The sequence below is a fragment of the Homo sapiens genome, chromosome 4, assembly GCF_000001405.40.
Source record: "Homo sapiens chromosome 4, GRCh38.p14 Primary Assembly".
NCBI lineage: Eukaryota > Metazoa > Chordata > Mammalia > Primates > Hominidae > Homo > Homo sapiens.
Window position 1 is genome coordinate 88,743,973 of NC_000004.12, and position 26,695 is coordinate 88,770,667.

Here is a 26,695-nt window from a genome sequence, read left to right on the forward strand (position 1 = left end):
GTTGCATTCTTGGCCTGTTAATTTGAAAAATGGCAACTCTGTCTTCATTATCAGGTTATCATAATAGACAGTAAAAAGATCAGAAAATCCAAAACAGCAGCTAACCGAAGGAGAATATTTATAAATGGCTCCAGAATTTGCATTTAAATTTGAACATGGCTGTATTTAGGGTCCTCAAGGTTTAAAAACATAAGATTAAAATACTCCATTGAGGAAGATCAGATGGAGTATGCTTCTGGTTCTGATCAGGTAACCCATTCTCTCCCCTCTATGGTCATTATCAAATAGTGGGATACACACACAGTAATACAGTGACATGTAGTTATTTACTGCACTTCTGTGACATGGTCTTTTGATGAGAAGATTCTTAAACATTGAAGAGGACGCACTTTAATAATAATAGGGAATTATATGCCTGTGTATAAGTGAGTGTTTTTGTGTTTATATATGTGTAACTCTGCAGAGTGCCCTCAGAGTGCCCTGAGAAAGCAAACAGCTTTGCTAAAAATGTACAGAAGCGGCTGATTACAGTTTTGGCCTAAGATTTTAGTAGTTAGTGCCCTTTTAAATCAGTATCTGTAGACTCAGAAAAAAATCCATTGAGTTTTGAGCACCTGCTTTTCTAAACAATTGGGGTTTGGAACAATAGTTTAACTCTAGAAGTACATGTATTTTTCTTCTAAGAAGAGTGTTGTCCGCATGGCATTTACAGTCCAGGGTCCATGGTAACACCACAAATCTAAGAATTAAAAGTTGACTCTTTGATTTTTTTTCAGACTGGCCAGATATCAAATGAACTCTGCTTTTCCTGAGGAGGTTGGAGCATCATGTTCCAAATAGAGAGAGGCAGAGAGTTTGGCCCTGGACCAGAAATTAATGACACTCAAATTTCCTAGAGCATTTGTTCCCCACCCTATGAGATGCTAGAATCCGGACCCACCTGAAAGAGTGATGAAAGGGAATAATAAGGCAGGGCCAAGAATAATAGTTCATATTCTTAATGATAAGAGAGCTATGAAATGCACATTCTTTCGCCTGATTTAATCATTTAATCAGAAGGAGGCCACAGAAAGTAGAACGTGTAATTGTAACAGAGGTGAAAACTATCATTTACTGTGCAGACCCAGTAAAAGCCACCCCACCCCACTTCCTCAGTGACAGACATCCTACAGGTAAGTATATACAGATAAACGTCTGTGTGTGTGTGTGTGTCTGTAACATCATTTAATCTCCTTGGCAATCTATAACAGATATCTATTATATAGACAAAGCACCAAGGCTCTGAGAGGTTACCTAAGCAGCCCAAAGTCATAGAGCTAATCTCAGTGGGGCTGGGTTTTGAATCTGGGTCTGCCAATTCTACGTGTCTGACCCAGTCCAGGCTGAATGAGGGAATCTGTTCCCAACTCAGAGCAACAAATACTACAACACACAAAATACTCAATTGGCAGCAAGGTGAAGTCTATCTAGAACACAGCTGTGAGCTCTTAAGGGCCTTGGGCATGGAAGTCCTTAAAGGTGTCTATCAATGTCATAACCCAAATCCACAGAAGTAAAAGAGGAAATGTTCAAGAAGGAAAACACACCTTCTCCATGAGGCCTACCAGATGGCTACACAGAGCAGGGTTCTAAGCCTATTGTGGAGAAGGAGTGTCTCTCTGATAAAAGAAGTTCACTTCTGCCTCTACACATTTTGAATATTCCGGTGGAGAAGGAGAAAGTTTCACAGTGTATTTGAGCTCTAGAGCATTTACTATTTGGTTCAATGCCTTCAAAAAAAATCCCAAACAAAGCTTGGCTGAAACATGAACATTATCCCAGAGTGTCAGTATTTTTCCACTGCAGGGACAGGCCAGCAGAAGAATCATCAGTGCCAGCATTTTTTTTTTTTTTTTACATTTAAACCTGATAAATTCAGAATTAAAATGCCACCAAGGAGACATTCTACAGATAGTTATTGGGCCTGTGTCATGTGTCAGGTCTTGTGCTAGACACTGAGGACTGGGGTCACCACTAGGTGAACAAAGCCCAGAATCCCTGACCTCCCACACCTTAGAGTCTAGTGAATTATTCTGGAACCTTCTTTATTTAAAAGAGCATATTTTAGATGAAAAGACTATCATATAGTCATGGCCAAGACTGAAAAAGAGATCTATACTTTTTGGCTATATAAAAATAATCAGTGAACCTAAACTTCGTGCTTCCTTATACCTGCTTTTAAAAATTTGTTTTGTTAGGTCTCTGACAACATTATGAACAAAAGGTTATTAAGAGTGACTGACAAGAAGGGTGTCTGATGAAAAGTTCTTCAGGGAAGAGAGCAGAAGCCTATCATGCTACCGTTTCCCCCACAGCTAACAACAAACATTTAAGCAATGCTTGCTGAACGGCAAGCCACCTCAAATGCTTCCCGTTGTTATGAAAAGGCAAAGCCATATTTTGGATTCCTCACGCTTCTGGTTCTGAACGGCAGCTGGAACTTCTTTACAAACACTAGTTGCACTGCATTGCAGAGAGATTGAATTCTAAGGCAGATCATTCTAGTTTCACACCTTTCATTTTATGGATGAGGAAGCCTACAGTGACAGCTTATTGGGGGAGACCTAGGGACAGGGAAGTCTCCAAACTCCAGGGGTCTTTATGCCCTATACTCTGCCCCTCCGACCCCTGGCCCCTCCACCATTCCTTCCTTTAAAGCGGTACATTAATGACTAAATTTTAGTTGCAAACCAATTTTTCATTGGAACCCAAGTAAGTTCCACATCTACTAGATAGAACTTTCTTATTGGTTAAGCCTTCAGAAAGCTTAGTTATGGTGTAAATATATACTAACCTCCTTTATCCTAAAAGTAAAGCAAGCAAACATTAGGGAACCCCATTTGTAAAATACTGAACATAGAAAATCCATTTCTAAAGCCAGATAATTGACCCCAATCAGAAAATTTACTACATCACATACCGGCCGTCCATGAATGCTTTCATAATATAACAGAGCTTTCTGCAGAGCCACTTTCTCATTAGCAATCTGGTCTTTGGTCATATCCTGTATAAACACAGGGATAGAGAATTGAAAGAGAGGAAAATGTGTGTGAACATTCCAACTTCTTTACTTAAATTACTAAAGCAAGGCTAAAAAGAACCCTCATATAACAGCTCTCCCTAGCTCTATCCAAAGTTCATTTAAAAATGGGTTACTCCTGAGCTCTTGGGAGAAACGTGGCCAGCACAGCAGAATCATCATCAGCCACCTGGATCTCCCTCACGGCAGCAAAGGTAAGGTGAACACTGAGGTAAGCAGGGCTGTGAGGCACATGGGGCTTAGCTTAATGGCCCAAGCAATGACGACGGTTATACGTTACATGGTCCCAAAGGTTTGTCTCTAATCCTTCTACCTCAGAGTCACAAAACCAGCTATTAACCTAAACAAGTTCATTCTGTAATCTATACAATAGAGTTTTGTTTTCAATCTGTAGTCAAAAACCAAAGCACCCACAGTTAACGCACTCTGCAGCTGTTTCATCAGCTTCCCTAGACACGTAACAGCCTGGAAGGCTTAACAAGGCATCATCTTCCCACTGGGATTCACGTGGCATGCCCTGTGTCTCTACCACATTGACTGCAATGGCTTAGGGCTTAGCACTTCACAGAATGATCGCACCTTAATGTCCTCAGGGCGGCTGCTTTCCGCTCGCTTCTCCTGGAGCTTCCTCTGAATAGATTCCAATGTGGCTTCAACACTGGGCTTTATTGCTTTATCCACCAGCTCTTGCTTCTTCTCATCTTCTTTCTCAAGTTGGGAACCAAAACTCTTGGGGAGTGTGTTGCTTCGCTGCCGCATCCTGGGAGTTAGGTCCTCTTCAGATATCTTTAGTTTTGATTCTAGTTGAGAAGATTTGGGGGTAAAGATATATGAGATTTATTTATTTATTTATTTTGAGATGGAGTCTCGCTCTGTCGCCCAGGTTGGAGTGCAGTGGCACGATCTCGGCTCACTGCAAGCTCCGCCTCCTGGGTTCACGCCATTCTCCTGCCTCAGTCTCCTGAGTAGCTGGGACTACAGGTGCCCGCCACCACGCCCGGCTAATTTTTTTTGGTATTTTTAGTAGAGACGGGGTTTCACCATGTTAGCCAGGATGGTCTCGATCTCCTGACCTCATGATCCTCCTGCCTCGGCCTCCCAAAGTGCTGGGATTACAGGCGTGAGCCACTGCGCCCGGCCTGATATATGAGATTTGATGTCTGCCCAACACAAATTGTTTTTCTGTAGTATCAATAACTTATTCTTTTTTCAGAGAGTATCTAGTTACAGTATCAGTAGAAATCCCTGAATTATTATGTAAAACCTGAGAGAATGGTAACATTTTCTTTGATTACATGGAATGTTTCCCTAACACTAATTGCTGAGAAAGCTTTAGCCACATCAGCCTGTATGATGCTCTCAGAATGTGGCATCCTTGCTCCTTCAGTGGTTAAAGGTATTTAGTGATCTAATGCCCAGCCACTGGCCAACCTTTTCTGTATGACTTACACACCTTATTCTGAAATTAGGTTCACTTTGTATTCTATTTAGTTGTTTACATGACTGTGTCTCTGAAAAGATGGGAATCTCTTTGAGGGATGGAGGCCATACCCTTTGCAGATTCATCTCTGTGTCTACTTGTTTGCTTCTACCACCACAGCAAATGGAGACTTGGATTAAACAGGTGTTGAGAGATGCTGACTTGAAACCATCATCCTTCTATTAGTGATCCAGGGAAATGAAGAAATGCTGCAGAATTCGCCTCTTAGCTGATCGGGTTGCCCTGTGACTGAGACCATGTGAAGACCTGGGGAAGTGGTCACTCTGAATAGCTGAGAGTGCTGGGAAGCATCTTTAAGGACCGGGGAATGCCTTAGCAGTGGCACTCAGTGGGAGAGGAGGTGAGAGATTCTGCACCTGGCTTGTTGTACAGAAGCCACAGCTCCAGAATTTTACCCACCTTTAAGTTGTCTCCGGAATTTGGCAAGGTCATTTGTCCATTTCAGAACCTCCGGATTGGCTGCTTTGTCACTGTGGGAAGGCTGAGAAAAGGAAGTCTAGAGTAAATGCTTTGGAACTGGAGCAGGGAAAGTAAGAAGTGTTTGATGATCATTTTTGTTTTAAATAGGAAGGAAAAGTTGAGCCCCATCAGAATAAGAAATTAAACACGACCAATCAGAGCAAATGTCACAAATGTAATTCCATTATCCTTCTTTATATTTGGTTATTGTGATGCTTTCAAAAAATTCCTCAGAGGCAAAATGCATCTTTATGATCAGTGACTTCTGTGAGGTCCATGACCCCCTTGCCATTATTTGTAGGGTTCAACCTGTAAGACGAACAGTGTAGAAAACAGAGGGGTATATGATGTTTTGCTCAGCAACCGTCACAAAAATGCCTTTTTGCCACTCTTGTGGTACAGAGCTGACAGCAGAACGAGCTCAGTGCTAACAAGATTTCAGAAGATAATATTGAATTAAATTTTAGTCAAACAAAGGATTTCATTCAACAATTTCTCCAGTTCCTGCTTACTGATTAATTTATAAAATGTAGACTTAAGCTTTCATTTTTTTTTTTGTAAGAATACACTTGTGCAAGGAAAATGCTGATACATAATGACTGGGGTTTATCAGGGTGTACTATCCAGGGTTTACTGCCTTTTTGTTGTAAGATTCCCTAGAAGCCTCCCTTAACCTTTCGTCGTTTCTTTGAGTTGCTGAAATGCTGCCATGTCCAGGGAGAGGATGAGGCGAAAAGAACAGTGTGAGGGGACACTTACTCTGTACTTCTTCTCTTCTTCGAATCTATCTTCAAACTTCCGGATCTTCTTTTTAAGGCTCTGAATCCTTCGTGTGAGCTGGGCAGGTGTCAGGTCCTCTTGCTCATCATCATAGGACCCCAGAGAGGAGCTTCGCCGCCTGTGAAGAGTACGACTTGGGTCAGTTTCCCCAGGAGCAGTCACTGCTTGCCTAGAGGGGCCCTGGGGAAGTGGGACACCATGTGGCATGCGGTGGTGGGGTGGGGGCAGTGCGGAGACAAAACAGCCTCTCTCCTCTTGAATAAAAGACACTTGAGTGATCCATTGGAGCTTGGTATGTCCCACCTATTAAGTACATCTAGGCTTTCTAGCTCACATTTATAATTAGCAAAGTAGGACTGGACATCAACCTTTCCTGTGGGCCTACAAGAGCTGAATTGGAGAGCGCTTTGGAAAGGAGACGCTAAGAAAATTCAATATGTGATGTTGCAGTTGGGCCACAGCTCAAATGGGAAACTACAACATGGCCTGTGTCCTAGGATGGAGAATTTCAAATATGTTGCTCCATAGGCTCACGACTTAATTAAAAAAAATTATTCACTATCAGTGCCATTCCTCTTTTCTGATGTTGTGGGGATGATGCATTTGTCTATCAGCAACACAGAGAAACATACCTCATGAAAGAATGGGAGTTTGGTGGGGAAGGAGGCACTTCTGTGTCATCCAGGTATTGCCTGCTCTGCCCATAAGCGTAGAACCGAGGAGAGAGCATGGGGTCGCTGTCTTCGTCCAGCAGCTGACGGATCAGGCGCCCAGCCTGCGGCGAGAGGTGGGCTTCATCAGAGTCACTGTTCTCCCGCTGCCAGGAGGAGAAAGCAGGGATAGGCTCTGGAAGATAAGGGCAGTAAGATCAGGACTGTTCCTGAAAGAGGTCAGGGTTGTTCTTTAAAACACAAGTGTTTCCCAGGCTTCCCAGATGCTTTAGGAAGCTGCCCATTGAATCGTTTCTCATTTTACAGCTAAGGTCCAGGCTAAGGACACCGCGCCCCAACTGAAATCACCAATATGTCTGACAGCCATCATCTGTCTACCTCTCGTTTCCATTCTCACTGGCTTTCCAAAGAGAATTTGCTAGGCTACCCTGAGGAGCAGCCTTGAAGGGGGGAAGCCCAGTCAATTAGTGATAAAAACTCTTCCACGTGATGGCATCAATGAAAAGAAAATGTGCATGCCTGTAATCCCAGCACTTTGGGAAGCCAAGGCGGACGGATCACCTGAGGTCAGGAGTTTGAGACCAGCCTGGCCAACATGGTGAAACTCTATCTCTACTAAAAATACAAAATTTAGCTGGGCGTGGTGGCGGATGCCTGTAATCCCAGCTACTGGGGAGGCTGAGGCACGAGAATTGCTTGAACCCAGGAGGTGGAGTTTGCAATGAGCAGAGATTGCGCCACTGCACTCCAGCCTGGGCGACAGAGTGAGACTTTGTCTCAAAAAACAAACAAGCAAACAAAAAAAAACAAAGAAAAGAAAATGTGTTGGTGGGGGAGATATTTGGTATCACGGCTGTACATCCTTCACCAAACAACCGAGGAGTCAAGCTAAGGAACCACATCAATCTTGAGAGAGCCTATGTATTTAGGAGTTTATAACTTCCCTTGAGGTCATCCAGTAAGCTGTTTTGTGTGCTTCTGCTTAAGTGTGTTGGGATTAGCACATTTAAGATGCATGCTTTGCACTTGAAACTTCAGAAGCTGCTCAAGACTCCAGTTAGAGTGAGATGCATACATAAATTAGCCAACAGAAGAAAAACGAACACCTTACAAAGGACAAATCTGTACAAATCAGTTTAGATAATCTGTTAAAAAAAAAAAAAACACGCTCAGCACAAAATCTTGATCTGTTATTTAGGGAGAGAAGAGGGCAACTGTCTACTTCTATTTACTGCAAGACTTACCTCAATAGACTCCTTTCCTCATTAAACAAAATCCTATCTAAAAGATTTAAAAAATAGATGTCGATGATATAAGGTATTTCATTTGTAATGTTTGCATTATAGAATGAGTTATGCTTGAAATTTACTTGTGGATTACTGTGATTTACACAACGGTAGAATTTGGCTATGATCTTAAACTCTGGGATTCCTAGACTTTGAATCATGGGAACAGTTGCTCCTCTACCTATCATACTATAAAATGTGCAAAACTATCTTAAATAAGTGCTTATTCAGGCTTCTATTTAAAAATATATAATCCTAGAATGTTACAGCTGGGTGTGACTTCATACCTCAACTAATTTTGTGATTTCTCAATCCTGGCCGCACATTAAAGTCACACAGGGAAATATAAATGGCTACCAGCACGCAGGCTCCTCATACTATCCAAGTCAACAATATTTAGGTGAGGGTCCAGATATGTGCGCCTCACACACACAAGTTTAAAAGCTGTCCAGGTGATGCTCATGTGCAGCCAGGTTTGAGAACGATTGATCCAACCCAGCAGGTGACAGATAAGGAAACTGAAACCCCAAGAGGTGGGTCTAGAAGCTAAGTCTCCTGACTTCCAGATCAGTGCTTCAACTTAGAATGTGCCAAGTGCTTCCATAAGAGTGGCAACTTTCTGAGATTTTAGTAGACCCCATATAATAGGGAGGATAAGCACATTAATTTAAAAAATTAACTTTATATGGAATGAAGTCCACAGGTTCTCGAAATTTAAAGAGAACTAGGTTATCTGGAAATGCAGATAAAAATACAAATATTTTAAGAAATGAAAGCAGTGTTAAAGACAGATTCTTATCTATTGAGGCTCAAAAAGTGGCAGAGGACATGCTGGTAGATGTGCCTGGCTAAAGCTGGACACGAACAGGAGGTGTTTCATCATTTGTACTAACACTATCGGTCTGCTCCTCCTAAGTGGTAGGACTTGGGCACAAGCAGCTCAAAACGCCAACATAAAAGAATAAAAAATGGACTGAGAGGCGAAGTAAGGAGGGGGGACTGGAAAGCAACCACTAGAAAAAATAAAACATGTCAGCTGCAGAAAATGGAACTATTAAACTGACCAGCTTGCATCTTCTGTCATGATATTTCATAAGACACCAGTAATTTTCTGCAAGGACTTTCCCCAGGAGAGGGAAAGGGTTAAGATGGCTTGAACAGTAATGCAGCAGGCAATAAGCTCACCGCAGAGTGGCAAAGCAGCAAAGCCACTGGGGGCAGGGCACGGAGCTTTCCTGGGGACAGAGGGCTTTGGCAAAGCAAAGTCTGATGTTGATATTGGCATATGAGTGTGCTGGTTAGTTTGACATTTCTATTCATAAAATCTTAGTTTAAAAGGTGTTACCTTACATCCTGAAGCCCTTTAATGTGTTAGAATCTAGCAGAATATCTCCTTAAAAATGTTATAACTCATCTTTAAGTTTTCAACTAGGTGGTCTCTGTGTATACAAATTTTTACTTATAAGAGTGTGTGATAAGATAAACTGATCTTGAATTCACTAGAAAATGCTAATCATGGAACTGAATAATCATTATTTGATGCTTTGTGGCTAACGGCAGGGCCATCCATCAGTTTTCTTCTTTGTTAACACAGCTTTATTTTGTGGCTTTATTCTTGATCAGTTGCTTTACTGACAAGGAAATCAAATGTGTCCTTTTCCTAGCGTCTCCCATGGTATACACGAAATACACAGCTGCAGTAATTCTAGCTTATCAGTGACATTTTCTCCTAAAGCATATAGTTAGGGTGAATGAATTCACTTATTTTAAAATGAGAAATGTAAAACTATATGAGTTTCAACTCTAATAAAAAGTATGCATGTAGAACGGAAGTGAAAGGTTTCTCATCTATGCAACACAAAATGCTTACCTGATTCTCTCCTTTTTCTCTCTTTTCTGTTATTCGATAGTCTTATAATTTAAGGCTTCTATTCAAAAGAGTTATAAAATGACATGTAATACACAGTTCAGTATAACTAAGGGATCAATAAAACTGTTCCCCATTTTAGTTTGAAATGATCTAAAAGCACAAGGCTCATGTTTTGATAGTTGGCACTCAACTAGAACAATAACAAAGTACTAAATAAGGTAGTGTGGTAGATAACAGGTACAATTTCACTGCCTGCCTAGAGAGCCGGTTTTGAGGATGTATTCACCGACCATTCCCTGACCATTCCCAATTGCTACTTTGGGAAATATTTTATATTTTAACTAGCAATTCTAGAGCAAGGAGAGAGATAGGAATGTTGCAAGAAAATTATTTAAAGGGAAAAACAGGAGGGATGTGAGGCTTCACACTGGACTGTCTTGCTAAACCACCACATAAAATAAATGCATTTTCATATCTAGACCAAAGTTCCTTGTGTACAGTTAGTTTTGCTTTTAGACATGTGTCTTGTCACAGTGAACTCTGGACATAAGTATGACATGCCTCTCTATTAAAAATTAATCCACCCAGGTCAGTTGACATTGCAGCAGGTCGGAAATAACAGAGATAAAAGCTGCATGCTTGCTACTGAAGTAATAAAAAAAGACTAGGCCCTGGGGGAGTTCCAGTTCAGACACTATAGTACACATGGATATAACGGAAATTTTCTGTAGAAAGAGGGAACATATCTCTGAGTAACGCTAACATGGTCACTGGGACAAGCTACTCTCTGCTTAGCTGGCTGGATCCACTTACTATACAAAAGAAAACCGGGTACTGGGATGATTGATTTCTCAGAAATCTGCACAGAATTAAGGGGGCCGATGTTTTCCACATTCCCTTTCCAACTATATTATTTAGAGCCATTACTCCTTGGCAAGATGTAACCATTTTTCTGCTCAGCTGAGCTAGGAGGTACTTGGACATCCCAGACATAAAAAGATGTAAGCCTCATGGTGGAGGCTCTTTACTGGAAGAATTTTAAAAAATTTTCTTTAGTGTTCCAAAATTTAACTTTAGAACAATGTTAGTCCTATGAAATTGTTCAATTAGTCTTGTTAACCAACAGAGTTAGAAAGAACCAGAGTAGTCAGCTTTATCAATCACAAATGTAATCCTTACATTTATCTGCTTTGTCCCTGTTTGCAAAGTTAATAAGCAAGCCCTTAATAGCTCCATTTAAATCATTAATAAATGTGTGGAACAGGATAGGGCTGAGGACTTTTTACCTAATGAGAATACCCCCATTTGAGCTGACTTTGATCCATTTATCTACACATTTAAGAACAGCTGCTTAATCAGTTACTAATTCACTACCCTACCTGTCTTCTCTCCCACTTCTCTGACAGTCGGGCTATCATTAACGCCCCGTCAAAGTCCCAGGTGAAGTCTTTTCAAATGCACCATTTCCCCAACCTAAAGTCTAGTATTAATAATATCAAAGAAAGAAAGGAGGTTGGTGTGACATGGTTAATCCTTAATAAATCTGTAGAGGACCTAGTAATACCAATTCCTCTTGTGTTCAGAGCCACCCATGGCCATTCGGTAAACTGCGCTCTGGTTTCAAAGAAGGCAAACTTAGGCTGATTTTTCCTGAAACTATACTTGGAAATATTTATGGAAGATAAAACTGACACACATAGTGCCTACTATGAGCCCATACTGTGCTGTGCACTTAGCATATTTTAGCTCATTTAATCCTTGCAATAAACTTATTAAGTAGATACTACTGTATCTACTATTCATTATTACCTACTGTTACCATCCTATTTAAAGATGGAAAACCAGGGCAGGTTTACTAACTTGTCGCAAAGCTGATAAGCAGCAGAGCCAGGATTTGAACCCAGGGAATCTGGCTTGTAACCACTTTGATCTGTTGCCCACAAGGATATAAAACTGACATTGTTTAGAAAGAGGCATCAGGTGCAAATGAGGAGACTTTGTTACTTTGAATCATCATTTTGCTTCTTTTGGCCTCAGTATTCTCATCTGTATAATAGGAAGGTTCAAGTGGAATATCTTTTAAGATCTCTTGTTTTTCTATGATACTTTTAGAGAATTTCCTTTCCAAAGTTATTTTCAACAAGCAGTAAGTGATGAGTTAGATATATGAAGTATCTTATGCCCTTTTAAAAATACCACCCATCTCCATTTTTTGAAATGGGGTATTGTTATGTTGCCTAGGCTGGTTTTGAACTCCTGGGCTGAAGTGATCCTCCGGCTTCAGCCGGAGTCCCTTAAGTAGTAGGGACTACAGGCGCATACCACCATGCCCGGCTTAAAATGCCCCTTTAAATTTAATTTCATCAGGACATACTGAATAGAGTAGCTGACTGCTTAAACCCCAGTGCTTACACAAGGAGTATCCTCAAATCAACATAATTGACTGCTTGGGAACATTCTAATTATGCAACTCTGAAGAGCTTTAAATAACACAGAATAGTACATTAAATCTGTATATTCATTTAACTCTGGTGATTGGAAATCCTAGTAATAATAGTCATGTGGCTAAATCAAATAATAAAACAGCTATGTATATTTAAAAAGGATAAAGTATGCTTAGTATTTGCCAATAAGCATGACCAGACTCGGATCCTACATTCACTTTGCGAGAGTTCCATTCCACATGTCCTACGGAATCTATTTATTAGTTTCATTTCCCTTTTTGTTTACTTGATACTGAGCCCCAGAAGCCAATGAACATCATTTTTGTGTGGAGGGGCAGTACTTAGTGAATAGCCTGCTGGTGCTCGCCTCTGCAGTTAAGTATTGCTTCACCTGACATTCTGCGATTCCACATTAATGTGAGAGTAGGAGCTATGGTATGGGGATGGGAAGGAGCAACCAAACCAAAAAAGAGGGGATGGTGCCTTGAAGACTGGTGATGGGGGCTTGTAGGTGGATACTGGTTCAGGAGGTTTTTGGTAATTATGACTTTCGTTTACATATTTTGTTGCACTGGCTTCACATTCACAAATTCGTGCAAAGTTTATTCCTTACTGGAAAGACACAATTTTCTTATTTTAGCTATAAAAAAAGGTGATATTTTAGTGATCAGACTTATTGCTCTCGTTTTATGCAAAAATTCCTTACTTTCATTATACTTATAGCTATATTAGTGCTATAATGTAACTTGGAAAGTTACAATAAGTACATAAGCTTAAAAAAAAAAGGTCACTGAAAGCAGTAATCAAATGATCAGAATGGCCTTGATGTGAATTCATGTAGATTTTAAAGATATGTACATTCAATGACAAACGCAGTAATGGCAAAACAAAAACAAAAAGTTAAAGTTATTTCAAAAACTACTTGGAATACACAATCCACTTTCCCAAGCCTATTGAAATGCAACATATTTTTTTCCAATAACTTTTTAAAAAAAAAATCCATCTAGATTTCTAAAATGAAATGCTGGTTCCTTCAATTATTATCTGAAGGAAAATTCTTTATGTTAATAAAATAGTTTTAAGGAAACTATAAGCTGGCTTTCAGTCACTCTGAAGAGTATTCTCAGCTTTATATTAGCATTATTTAAGTGGCTGAGAGAGATGATAAATTTATGACTAACCAAGATAAAAATAACAAACTGAGTCCATTTCAGGAGAAAGAAAAAATGTGGCTAATTTGAATTCTAACCAAAAATCCTAGTTTTTATCTAGAGCTTTAGGGTAGACCATATCACTAAGACACAAATATAACATTTATTTTTTGGTTACTGTATTTTTCTTTTATTTGGGTAACAGTGACTACTATGGGACTTTTTTGGGGGGAGGTGGGGGCACAGGTTGTTTTTAATATATGAATTAAAAACTAACATGATTATTTCACAGTACTCAAAAATGAAAGAACAGAAAGGTACTCAGGAATATATAACTGAAATTACAAATTAAACAACCCTGCGTTTTGCTGCTCAGTGAATACATTTTGAGCTGAAAATATCTGACAAAATCTGAAACCCACTGCCTAATTATATAAAAATAACTAGAACAGGTTTCTTAGCTTTCAAGGACAGAACTAGAATAAAAAAGTTTGTTTTCACTAAAGCCCTGGATGCCAGAAATGGGGTTTACTCTTTTTCACCTGGTGGTCTTTTCAACTCTCCTCTTGATCCTTCATCTAAGGTCATTAAGATAACTTCTTGGTTAAGAAAGAGAGGAAAGCGGGTAGGGAGAGAAGACAAGGAGATCCACGTGCTGAAACGGGACTGATTTTTCACAGCTAAGACCTCCTGGTAAGTCATTGTGTTAAGTCATCCTGCTGTATTGGAATCAGGTGCACAATTTTTCCCTCCTTGCAGCCGTCACGCACATACTGTATAGAGGTAGACTGGCATTTATTTTGGATCCACATTGGTATGTGTTTGGATGCAGACACATGGATAATGAAAGAATAAGCAGCTTGATAAAACTGCTGCAATATCCTCCCTGAAACACAATTTTGACAAGGCTACTCTCTTCTTCCTCGCAAGTACATTTCTAATGTTTTCACCAAAAGTCTCTAGGAAAAAAAACCAATCTAAAGCACTCACTGTATTACAAGCTTTCAGTAAGATGCATGTATTCAGTGTTCTTTTTGATAAGCAAATCCCTTAAATTTGTTAACCTGAAAAAAAAATCTATCCATAAAAACGAACATAGAAACAAAGCAAACCAAAACGGGAAGGAGATTTCATGAAAGAGGCAGGCGACTGGCATGCAGCAGTGGGAGGATCGCGCCACAGAAGGTAGAAATCCTAAAAGCACACCGGTTCCCTATTACTCTGCTTGGTACTATGAGGGGGAAAAGACATACACATATCAGCACTCCCGGTGAGTCACAAAGGAAAAAAAAAGGCCTGCAAGGTGACACTATGATAAAGGGCAAGCATGTTTTCTTTCTTAGATTGCAACTGCCCTCAGCAACATTTACCCTGAGGTATTCCTATGACAGGTCAAGGATTTTCGGTCATTTGGAAATGCAGTTACTTCTGCATGCATAGCTCTTTCACCCACACTCTCACATAGTTACATGCCTCTCATTTGTGCTTATTTATATATGCTTTAATGATAGCAAATCATCCAAGTATCAGACAACCCTACCTTCCCAGTTCTTTTCATCACACAATGCAGTCAGGTCCGACTGGGGCACTTCGGAGACAAAGCTCTCCTCCTGGTCACCGGCATCTTGATTTCTCTGCTGTTTGGTGTCAGATAGGCTGGGATGCTCCTGGATCTTCATTGTGGGGCTCTGCAATAACAGCACAATGTCCCCAAATATCTACTGCTCACCAAAACCCCAAGACGTCTGCAGCAATTCCACTCCTTCAGGATAAAACCTTCCAAGTCACAGCTGCTAATGCATCCAGCACAGAAATAAAAATCATGGCTTGATGCCCCCCGGATCCTAGCTGGCCACTTGCATGCAGAAAGCAACTGTCCATCTGTGCTCCTTTAACTTTCCCCAGGCTGCTCTTCCCGATAACTGCAGGCAGCTGACAGTCTTGGTGATTACTGATTGGGGCCAGGAATGAGGGAAAGGAGTTTGGTGTTTTCTTAAAGGAGTATGGCTCTCATGACTGTAAACAACAACAATGAAAACCGGGCTACTGCTGTTGCTAAGGCTGTAGTAGCAACATGGTGTCTTTCGCAGGTGGACTTCTTTGCCCCTTAGGTAAACAGTCCTGCAAGCCAGGAATAGAGGCTGTGTACGTGAAAGCTCCCCTGCCGGCCCTGGCTGCTTAGATCAATTAAGCGGGGCTAGCTGCACATTCCCAGATTTCCTGTGGTTGTTTTCTCACTGAGTATTGGGAGAACAGACTATTTATGGAGGAGCTCTGGGTATTAAAGCATTGTTGCGCAAATTCAAACAGCACAGGGGATTGGCGTCTCATCTCAGCTAGCAGTAAAGAATACGGACTCTGGAAATGAGCCAAAATTACACAGGGAGCAATTTTTTTTTTTAAGTAAAAAGTCAAGAGCTGGCAAGTCAGTGATGCATAATTCATGTCTTACAAATACGCAACTGTCACTTGTTTTCCTACTATTCATCTACTCTGAATATTAAATACTTGGCTACACTTGGTTTTGCTTATTGGTGGCACCCACACCAGGCTAGGACATCTGAGGGATGGAGAGATCCTCCCCAAAAGGCTGATATTCAAATTAATAATTTTATGTTTAAACAAACTGCACTCGAATTAATTTTTTTTTAAGCCTTGCTCTCTGGGTAATTTGTAAATTCAACCATTGTCACTCTTCCCTGTCTCACACAATTATAAACAAAAGTGTTTATGAAACAGTTTGCTCACAAATGTATTCCTTAAGTAGCACAGATGGGTACACAAGATTTTCTTTAGGAATAGCTAGAAATGTATTTTGGCAAATATACTATCATTAAATGAAAAAACTAAGAACATCTGGAAATCATAAGTGATTTCATTAATGTATGAGAAACGTTTCTGTGCTGAAAGCACTACTTAAGACTTGCAGCTACTTTTAATAGCCACCCAACCAACCCACTTTGAAATCATCAGGGAATAGCCAGGGCTTTTTACTATTATATTTCCATGAAATGATGCATGGAGACATATTTTCTTCACATTTGGGATAAAATGAAATACCATCAATCGGGTCCTGATGAGCTACTAAAGTCTTATAGAAATGCCAAGTGGCCGGGCGCGGTGGCTCACGCCTGTAATCCCAGCACTTTGGGAGGCAGAGGCGGGCGGATCATGAGGTCAGGAGATCGAGACCATCCTGGCTAACGCGGTGAAACCCCGCCTCTACTAAAAATACAAAAAATTAGCCGGGCGTGGTGGCGGGCGCCTGTGGTCCCGGCTACTCGGGAGGCTGAGGCAGGAGAATGGCGTGAACCCGGGAGGCGGAGCTTGCAGTGAGCCGAGGTCGCGCCACTGCACTCCAGCCTGGGCGACAGAGCGAGACTCCGTCTCAAAAAAAAAAAAAAAAAAAAAAAAAAAAAGAAATGCCAAGTATATCTGGAGATTTAAGATAGTTTAAAAATGCAGTTTGTTTACTGGGGAAAAAGCCAGATTAGGCATTTATGTCACAAAAAGTATTTTTCCCTTAAGCTAAAGCCTAAGTGGACCAGGGTTAAATGCCCAAATCTAGTTCTCAGCTTTTTAAATTACAAAGCCACTCAGTTACCAATCATGAGTGTGCCTGGGTTGCGGGGGAGGGGTCGTGGGCGGGGGGAAGCAAAAGAGAGTAAGAATATGCATACAGCAAATAAGCATTTTCTCAAAAAGATTTATAATGCTTATTACCTTTACAGACATCAAAAAATACTAGAAATATGATTTCATTTTTAAAGTATGGTATTTCCTTCACGAGGAACATACATCAAGTCATTTAAGCCCTCATGCTATGGAAAGGACAAAGGGTTTTGCTTACAGGCAGACCTGGGTTTGAAGCGTGGCTCTGACATTTACTAGCCTGGTGCCCTGGCTGAGTTGCTTCCCTTCTCTGAGCCTCCATTACCTAACATTTAAAATGGCATAAGTGATACCAATTTTGCAAAGTTCTTTTGAAGATCTGTCAGAAGGTATGAAGGGCCTTCAGCATGGTGTCTGGGGGCAGGAGAGACACAAATGGAAGCCATCATTCTTTCTCTACTACTATTTGACACCGTATGAAGACAAATGAATAAAACACTGGCACACCTCAAAATTGCTAGAGAGGGGAATAGGAGACAAGGCAAATACAATTGCAATTTGAGGGGAAGTATACTACAACAAAGGCTGGAAGACAATGTTAAATGCATTATGAAAAAATATTAGTGAAAAGAGCCACTAGTGTATCCGTCATGAATCAGCAACAGAAATTTTGATTTGGGGGCAGATATGTGTGGGCTGGAGGGGTGAGGGAGGACGGCACATCACACAGAAGGAAGGAGGAATAACAAGTGCAAAGGCAGGCATGAGAGCGTGGCATGCTGGGCCACAGCAAGAGAAGAGTTTCAGGGTGACCAGCCCTTAGGACAGGAAGGGGGAATGGGACATGACAAGGGTGTCAGCTAAGTAGATGCTGGACTGTGAAAGGCCTCATATGCCAGGCTAAGTATTATATACTTATATATTCAATAAATATTATGGCATAATAGGGCTGCCTATTATGTCTTTAGAGATACAAAGACAAAACTTATTAATTCAAAAGAAATGATTTTTCAGTACCTACTATTTGCTAGATGTTTTTTTCACACACTGGGGAAACTATGGTGGACAAAATAAAATCTCTGTCATAATGAGTCTTACAGAGAAGACAGTTAATCAACAAAAACCTGTTAGGGCTCTGGAGAAAAATAAAGGGGTATAAAAAGTAAAAGAAAAATAAAGTAAGAGGGATGTGGGTGGTAGCAGTTGAGGCCTCTGTTTTATACTGAGTGGTCAGGGACAGTCTCTGTGATAAAGTGACAGGAAGTGAGAAAGTGGGCCATTTGTGAAAAGAGCATTCCAGGAAGAAAGAAGACAAGTGAAAGGCCCTGAGGCATGGTCAGTTTTTCTATGTTTCAGGAATAGTACAGAGGTCAGTGTTTCTGGAATCCAGCAAAGGACAGCCAGAGCCACCATAAACAGAGGATGAGGATGTGTCATATATAATGAGGCATTCGGTCATTCACATCATAGACCTGTGTCAACTTACATGAGCTTCCATACTTCCTGGCTGATTTGTGGCACAGCAGTGGAGAGATCCCTCCTACACAAACCTACACCAGCTGGCACAATCCTGGACACACTAAGCACAGCACACCCTAACTGCATGTAGAGATGCACGTACAGGCTGGCCCTGTCCTGCTGTGCTCCCATCAATCCCTGGGGTTGCTTTCTTACTTGCACAAGTCCCAGCTTTTGGCCCTGCTGGTCTATGATGTGACAGGGTTGCCTTGCCTAGGGCTGCAGACTGCTGATGGTTTTTTGTGCATGTGGGTGCCAGGGAGGCTGTCCTATGTCCTATGGCCCATGGTGAAGTTCTTTAGGCTCCATAAACACTAGCATAAAAACTGCTGTGCCTTCAAATGTTAGCCTAGTCTGGGTGAAGCACCTTGCCCAGTTGCTCCATCCTCTCTAACAGGGCTCTTCATATAGTAGTGCAAATATTATCTGTTTCTCCTACTAGATCATTAAGGTTAAAATGTCAAAAGCATTCTCAAATATAAAAATATTTTTGGTTTCAACTTTTGTTGTTTACATGTCTAATATCTTCTGTTAAATCACAAAGTAAATTAATTTCACAATTTTCAACTCCAAGATCCTTGTACCGTGATGTCATACACTAAACATTGTCAAAAATGCTGCACTATATGAAAACACACCAAATATCTGTGTATTGAAACAAATTTAGTGTTTGGCTCTTAGGTGAGACAACAGAGTATGGCATATTAGGATGGGTTTTAGAGGCAGAGACTCATGTTTAGATACTAGCTTTACTAGCTCCAAGACTTTCAGTGAGTAAATTTCTTTGAACTTCAGCTTTTTTGTTTTTCCTCGAATACAGGAACAAGACTTTGTAAGGTTTGTAAAGATTAAAATGAAAAACGTGTACAAAACAGCCTATAGGAACTATAAACAATGCTACTTCCATTTATACCCTACCTCCCTTTCCCATTCGTTCATTCATTCATTCATTCATTCATTCATTCATACATTTGGCAAGCGTTCATTGAACACATATATGTCCTTGGCACTGGAATTTAGTAGTAAGCAAGATAAGGGATTTGGTGCAGGAGAGAGATACTGAACATACAAGTGCCAAGTATCACGTGTGTTATAAAAGAAACGTAGGATGCCAGGGGGCAAATATGAAGAGAGCTCATCTCTCCCGGGCCCTCAGGTAACATTTCACATTCAGGTCAAGGAGCCATTAATTATGAAGCTATCAGTCTAATCTTTGCCAAGACTTGTCCCTGTCCAGCTGGACCTACCTTTTTCTATCCCCAGACTTTATTTGATACTGCTCTTTCTCTGGCTTCAAATAGTTGGTGAATTTTTGTTTTATTCCTTCCATTGCCCTGCACAGGATATAGTTAAGTGGCCTAATAGTTTATCAGAGCCAGGAATGACAATATCAGAAAGTATGCTGTATAATGCAGTTTGCACAGGAAGAAACTACAATATTAACCGAAGAACTACAGAGAACCATAAACATTTTTTGTTTGGCCTGACAATAAAGGAAAGTGGAAATAAATTTTCAAAATCCATGTGAACTCCAAAGCTTCATTAGGCTTTGGCTATTGGATTGATTTGGAAGCGAATTTGAAGTAAATAGAGCTTGTTAATTTTTCTGGTTATAATATTAAAACAAAGTCCTAAAGCTTCCATGAAAACAGTGAAGTCAAAATAACAGTCATCCATTCTATAAATACTTTTCAGAAATTCACTTTTTCAGGGCAAATAAAAGCCTGCACTTAATATCTTGTGATAACTAATATTAATTCTCAGTCTTGATTGAAAAGCCTTGTCTCCTCTCCTTCTTTCTCTCTTCTCTTTTCCTTTTTTTTGAAGCAGGATAAGAAACATGGAACTAGTCTTTTTTTTTAAAATTATGAATGTCTTGTTTGTTATCAAAGGTATGCTTCTAAGCTCTCTTAAGCAGTAGGCTTAGAAAGCATAAAGAATGTAAAAATATTTTGAAAGAACTTAACACTTCACTGACCTTGTAATTCTGACATAAAATGATCTCTCCCAGATAATGTAATTCCCTCACATGCAGTTAATAATTCTTACTTGTTTTGACTTCTCAACAGAGATTCATTGTAAGGTTTTAGTTTTAATATTCTGGGTTTTATAGAGAAGTATAAAATATTTTCATCATAGAAAATAGGGATTAAATTGAAGCATAAAGCATAAACTCCCTTGGAAACAGAACTCTGAAAATCTGTAATTTCAGGGATATCTTTTAGAATCTAGAAATTGCTAGTTTTAAGGATGACCTCTCTTCTGGATACTTGTAGTTTGTTAAAAGAGTTAATAATACACAGAAGAACAAAGACTCTAGATTTTGCATGCCCAGGGAGCAGTGTGCTAGGCTCTTCCTTATGTTATCTCATTTCACATTGCCCAGATAGGATATTTTATTAAAATGTCAGCCTTTCTGAACCTTCCTGAAGAAATTGTACTTTAATTTTGGACATTTCAAAGTGACTCTTGACTTTTTTTCTCATTGCCAGTGTGTCACTAAACAAATTTTAATCCAAACCACATAAGGAACTCTCATGAAATAGAAATGGGTAACTATTATTGACCAATGCCCATCTGAGATCTCAGGAGAATCTCGTTTTGGACAATATTAGTTGCATAATTAAAATAAATTAAAAAGATATGAAACAAAGGGATAAGCCCATGTTCACTTTCCACACATACCTTCAAACAAAACACATTAAAGGCTGCAAGCTGATTATTTAAAAACTGGGGTCACAGTTGTAACTTCATTTGCCTTTGAGCAGCAGATCTAAGAGAAGCCTCTCTCTGCCTGTCTCTAAAGAGCATTTCTGAGGCTGAAAACAAATGTTCCTCATTCTAACGGGAATAGTAGTCCTCCCAAAAAAAAATCACCTTTCCCCAAGAGCTGTTGTTTGCTATGTTATCTTATGTGAATCTGAGAGTTTACAAGGAGAATTTTAAATGAAAATATCAATAAGGATGAAGTCTGTCTTAACGGAAAACAAAATTAGAAATATTACAATATATATTCAATAGCGGGCATGTAAAATCTGATGTCTCAAAATCTTATGCAATGAGACCTGAAACAAAATATATACTGGTTAAACAGAACTCTAGGAGGAGTAACCAAAGTATAGACTTATTTTTCATCACTGAAAATGAAAGATTATTGATGTTTTTACTAGAAAACTAGATTAAATATTGGGTGGTGTAAGTTTTAGGAAGGACTACATATATTAAAAAGTAATAACTAACAGCACACTGAAACAAGGGAAAAAGCTTTACAAAATGGAAAACAGTTCTTTTCACTGTCTGTCATGGATAATAACAAAATAAATTTCCTTCAGTGAAAGAAGCACATACTTTCACAAGTAGAAATCATCCCAATCTTGTGGAATGATGTCTTATTTTTCTCCTTTGGTGCAGCTGTGGTAGAAAGGTGACATGGAGAGCTTAGTCTAGATTTTAGTTCACCACCTAATTTTATGTCCTAACTGAAACCATCATGTTATTATTAGTGAACGCCTAAGCAGTGCCAGCAGTGGCACTGGGCACGATTGGTGGCTGCACATGAGTAACACACAGAAGAAGAGGACTTGGCACATGGAAGAAGGATGTGAGATTGTTTCCCAATGATTCATCCACTGCCCTGGGAGCTGTCCACCAAAGACCAAGGCAGACTGAGTTCAGTTTAGTTTGCCATTTAGTTTGTGTGCTACTTGGAATTTATGAGTTAATGTATGAAGTCCATCCACAAAAGTTACTTTTATTCCCTTTTATCTCACAAAAGAAAACAGGCATAAAAGGAAAGAACTGAGGAGACCTCTCCAGGAGACTGGCAAAGCGATTTTCTTTAAAATCATGTTAGATAGGAGAAGAGTAGGTGCTTGCTGTGAGCAGAGGAAGATGGCAGTGAAAGGATAAAACCATAAAAAACAAAACACAACTTGACAGTATCATGGGGAAACATGATCTTTAAAAGGATGCCTAGAGACAAGGAAATAATGTCAGCTTGTTGCTTGGGTTCCAAGGAAGGAGGCAAAAATGAGTTGGAAATAGATGAAAAAAGTGGCTCAGAAGCTGTGAGGTCAGAAAGAGGAAGCATTCCCCTCCTATTATCTGGCTAAATTATCTGGTGAAGAAGTATATATAGGACAAGAATTGAATACAGGAGATATGAGGAGTCTACAGCATTAGCGTGTGTTCAGGGAGTGGGGATTAGTTTCTAGGAATTTTATGCACATTTTTTAATGATAATACAATTTTCTAAGAGGGTCTGTAGCTTTCTGATTTTTAAGCTGCTATGCTGTAAAACTCCATGGGGGAATAGACTGTGGTTGTCATTAAATCCCAGCTCCTAGCACAGTACCTGTTCCTAGTAGGATTTAATATATGTTGTTGAATAAATCCATCAGTGAATTAGGTCAGTGCCCAACAGAGACTAAGAATCATTGGGTTAGAGGGAACGTTCTCTTTATATCAAGAGTCAGAATTTAAGAGTAGGTTAAGAAAAACTTTAATTCTTGAAAAGCAAAACTGATAAGATTGAAGGTGGAGTTGGAAGTATTTGGAGGTAGCAGATTGCATACACATACATGAATTAAAAATGATGCTCAGCACACTGAATGGAAGCTGGACTTGGGAGCAAGGGAAACCAAATACTTGGGTCAGCATGGTGATGCCTGAGAGGACAAGTGGGAGGTCAGGAAAGTAAATGAAACTTGAAGATACAGATGACATAAGGGAGGTGAGAGACTTTTCTTCTCCAATGTTTATTTAAGATGAGAGACAAAACTCAGCAAACAAATTGGATTAAAGTAACTCAAAGTGAATTTTTGTTAATTTGAAGATTCATGACCTAATCCTTGTGACTAAGACTCACTACCTATATATTTCAATCACTTAAAAAATGCATCAAATTGTGGAAAATAAAACCAGTAGCTTTGGCTTTTTGTTTTGTTTTACTTTATAGAAAATCTAAAGAGAAATCCCTATGCTATTAAAGTTTATCATCATAAGCAAAACAAAATAATTCACAAAGGAAAATAATGGAGCTCTTATGATTTCTCAAGGAATCTTTAAGTTTGGTATTTGCCTTTCTAATCAATCACAGTTATATTACTTATCTCAATGTCCCTTATTGGCAGACTAATATTTCAGAAGTACACTCAAGAGTGTATGAACAGCCCCGTCACAGTCTTACTCTTGCTTGTTAGCTACTCACCTCAAAATGCTGAGTGTGTCCACCATCTTTTTCATTTCCTTTCCTATAAATAATGGCAACAACAAAAAAATCATAAAATATCTACTTGTTTTATAACGTTTTTCATCCACTGATATTATGATTTAATTTAAGAGTATGTTGAGTAGCTCTAAGCCAAATACTTATAAAATTCAAAAACAAAACACAAAACAAAAAATTAATCAAAACAAAGCAAACTGGAAACACAAATAAACATGACTATAGTTATTTGCCTTCAATAGCACTGTGATAGATTTTCTATTCTAAGCATTTTCCTTGCTATAAAATATTGCTGGTAAATATATAGTCCTTTAATTCCATTCTTTTTAGTTCTTATAATTCACATTGCATTACATGAAAATAACCTTTTCCTGCCCTTGGAAAGAATATTAGGAGACAATTCTAAAATTACCTTTCATCAGACATCCATTCAAAATCATCAGGTCCAGTTCTCTCATGAGATCGTGTGGAATTGAGACTTTCCATATTCTGTAACAGAACCATTATTGGTTGCCTAATAGGAATGGTAAGAAATATGCAACGCAGACCCTCCTTTCTTTAAAATAGAAAAATCAAATAATATGTATATATAAACTAATTCTAGTCCTCATATTTTTATCTTTGTTTAAACTAGTAAAATTATGACAGTTTATTATATCCTGCTTGCATAGAATTGTGTATTGAACTTCTAACATCCTTTTAACAAACATATGTGACAGCATCACAGAAATGGCCATTGTGCCCTATAATGTCTCCCTTAGGTATTATCCACATTGGAAAGCTAAATAGCAAAACCCAGATTGTTAGAGAATCAGGGTGGGTCAGACTTAGAATTGAGGAATCTGACATCGAATCTCATCAGAAACTGATGTACCATTTACTCTCTCTCTATCTATCTATCTATATAAGAACGTATATATACATATGCACACACACATTTATGTATATTCAGTGTACATTGATAAGATTGAAGGCGGAGTATACACATTATATGTGTATATATGTATATACATATATATGCACACACACATATACATACTCAGTGTATACTTCCAATATTATCTAGAGTAACATGTAGCTTATACCTAAGCTGTAAAATATCTATAAACAGAAATGAAAATTTAAGAACCTTTCTTTTTACAATATTTAATGTTAATCTTTATATTAGCCAAGATGGAAAAAGTAAAGACAGAAAACCTAATTTGAATAGTATGTATTTTCGGCTGACCAGGTGGGGTTAATGCTTACCAGGAGGCATATATGTAAGATATCTTTGACTGCCTCTGTGAATATGGCCAATGCTTTCTAAATATCATTCAGGTGACTGCCACAGAATAAGTAAGCCATTTCCTTGAAGGGAGATTACAAATAAGCAAATGAGAATATCTGAATTCAGCAAACTCAAAAACATAGCTGCCTTGGAAATTTGGACCTGAATTTTGTTGAACTCAGATTTATATCTGCATTAAAAGGATATTAAGCATAATCCACTCATCCTGTGTCATCAAAGTAAATTATACATATATGAAAGTAACATATGTTCATCTACCTATCAATAACATCCCATTATAATAAAACCCTTTACTAAGTAAATCTAAGGTTCACAATAATCCCATGAAGTTGGCATTTACAACAATCTCCACAAAATAAACACATAGAGGAGAAAACTAATCTTTGGCTTCATAGACAGCTGAATTATTTTCCATTTATGTTGGTTTTGCCAATTTGCCTGGAATTCTCAGTTTGACACCCTGGGCTCCATTAAAGAATAGAAACAAAGGGAGATAATATAACATAGTAGTTATGACAGTGGCTCTGAATCAGAATACTTGGGTTAGAATTCCAGTTCCACCATTTGCCAATTATATGACCCTACTTGAGCCTTAATTTCCTCATCTGGAAAATGAAGATGGCAACAATATGGTCTAACATAGGGTGGTCATGAGGATTAAATAAAATGATATGTAAAGTACTAGAATAATGATGGGCGTGGTGGCTCACACCTGTAATCCCAGCACTTTGGGAGGCTGAGGCGGGCAGATCACGAGGTCAAGAGATCGAGACCATCCTGACCAACATAGTGAAACCCCATCTCTACTAAAAATACAAAAATTAGCTGGGTGTGGTGGCACGTGCCTGTAGTCCCAGCTACTTGGGAGGCTGAGGCAGGAGAATTGCTTGAACCTGGGAGGTGGAGGTTGCAGTGAGCCAAGATGCACCACTGCACTCCAGCCTGGCGACAGAGCGAGACTCTGTCTCAAAAAAAAAACCAAAAAACAAAAGTATAGAATAATGCCTGGTACATTTAATGAATATTATTATTAATATAATTAATGAATTGTTGATGTTATTGTTTCTGAAGCTATAATATCTCCAAGGGAAATATTTTATTGTTATTTGTTATAATATCTCCAAGATATTTGTTATAATATCTCCAAGGAAAATATTTTACTGTTACTTGTTCACAGTTAAGACACTGTCCCAAAAACAGGAAATACAGTGTTTGTGTCTGCCATTAGAATACTAGAATACTAAGCATTAATTTACACACTTAGATAATTTTAGAATGGATCTGAGAAATTAAAAATTACAACATTCAATTATATTCATACCTCTAAAGTGTGAGTTAGAAGAGGCCTTTATAAAATGGCTCCCATTAAATCAAGAATAATTGCTCTTATTACCTGAATGTGACTTTCCTGATGAAGAGGGTTGTATCTATGACAAAGAATCTTTGTTCCCATTGGTAATCTTCAACAGATTATCAGACTCTTTAGTGTAAGATCTAGTGCAATAGTATTAGGTTTTCCTAAAGCTCTGAAACATGAATTCCAAAGGAAAGCACAACCCTCTATCTTCAGATCACTTCACAACAGTGTCAATGAAATGATACATTCATAGTTACGTGTAAATGACGATTTCCAAAGAACTAAACATTTTCAGATCAAGGCTAAGAAATATTCAGATCCTTCCTGTAGGAGATAGCTTAAAAGAAAAAAGAAATAAAATAAAAAAGAAATATTCAGGAAGAATAAGAGTGAACAGAAAATAAACCGTAATAGCATTATATAAATTTAGAGATATTTCATTTAGAAGA

The 26,695-nt window shown here is 39.0% G+C and overlaps 1 protein-coding gene across 24 annotated transcripts in view, besides 2 other annotated features; it reads right to left on the reverse strand.

Moving 5' to 3' along the window:
- Positions 1–26,695, reverse strand: part of FAM13A (family with sequence similarity 13 member A) — a 331,226-nt gene that overhangs the window by 18,013 nt on the left and 286,518 nt on the right. For all 24 annotated transcript variants that reach the window (XM_047449481.1, XM_047449479.1, XM_011531516.2 and 21 more), the window contains 8 exons: positions 24,011–24,087; positions 23,581–23,623; positions 14,782–14,929; positions 6,452–6,665; positions 5,799–5,937; positions 4,980–5,061; positions 3,659–3,879; positions 2,960–3,043 (listed from right to left, as the gene is read on the reverse strand). In XM_047449481.1, the coding sequence (XP_047305437.1) occupies positions 2,960–3,043; positions 3,659–3,879; positions 4,980–5,061; positions 5,799–5,937; positions 6,452–6,665; positions 14,782–14,929; positions 23,581–23,623; positions 24,011–24,087 (1,008 nt within the window). The remainder of the gene's footprint in view (positions 1–2,959; positions 3,044–3,658; positions 3,880–4,979; positions 5,062–5,798; positions 5,938–6,451; positions 6,666–14,781; positions 14,930–23,580; positions 23,624–24,010; positions 24,088–26,695) is intronic.
- Positions 10,148–10,292: an enhancer, noted in NCBI's record as "145 bp enhancer 87 fragment used in the MPRA reporter construct; PK_construct_216". NCBI's record gives its function as "activates an SV40 promoter by MPRA in HepG2 cells {active_cell/tissue: HepG2}" and the evidence as "EXISTENCE:reporter gene assay evidence [ECO:0000049][PMID:23512712]".
- Positions 10,214–10,227: a transcriptional cis regulatory region, noted in NCBI's record as "HNF1 motif; enhancer activity is reduced when this motif is scrambled". NCBI's record gives its function as "necessary for full MPRA enhancer 87 activity {active_cell/tissue: HepG2}" and the evidence as "EXISTENCE:site-directed mutagenesis evidence [ECO:0005528][PMID:23512712]".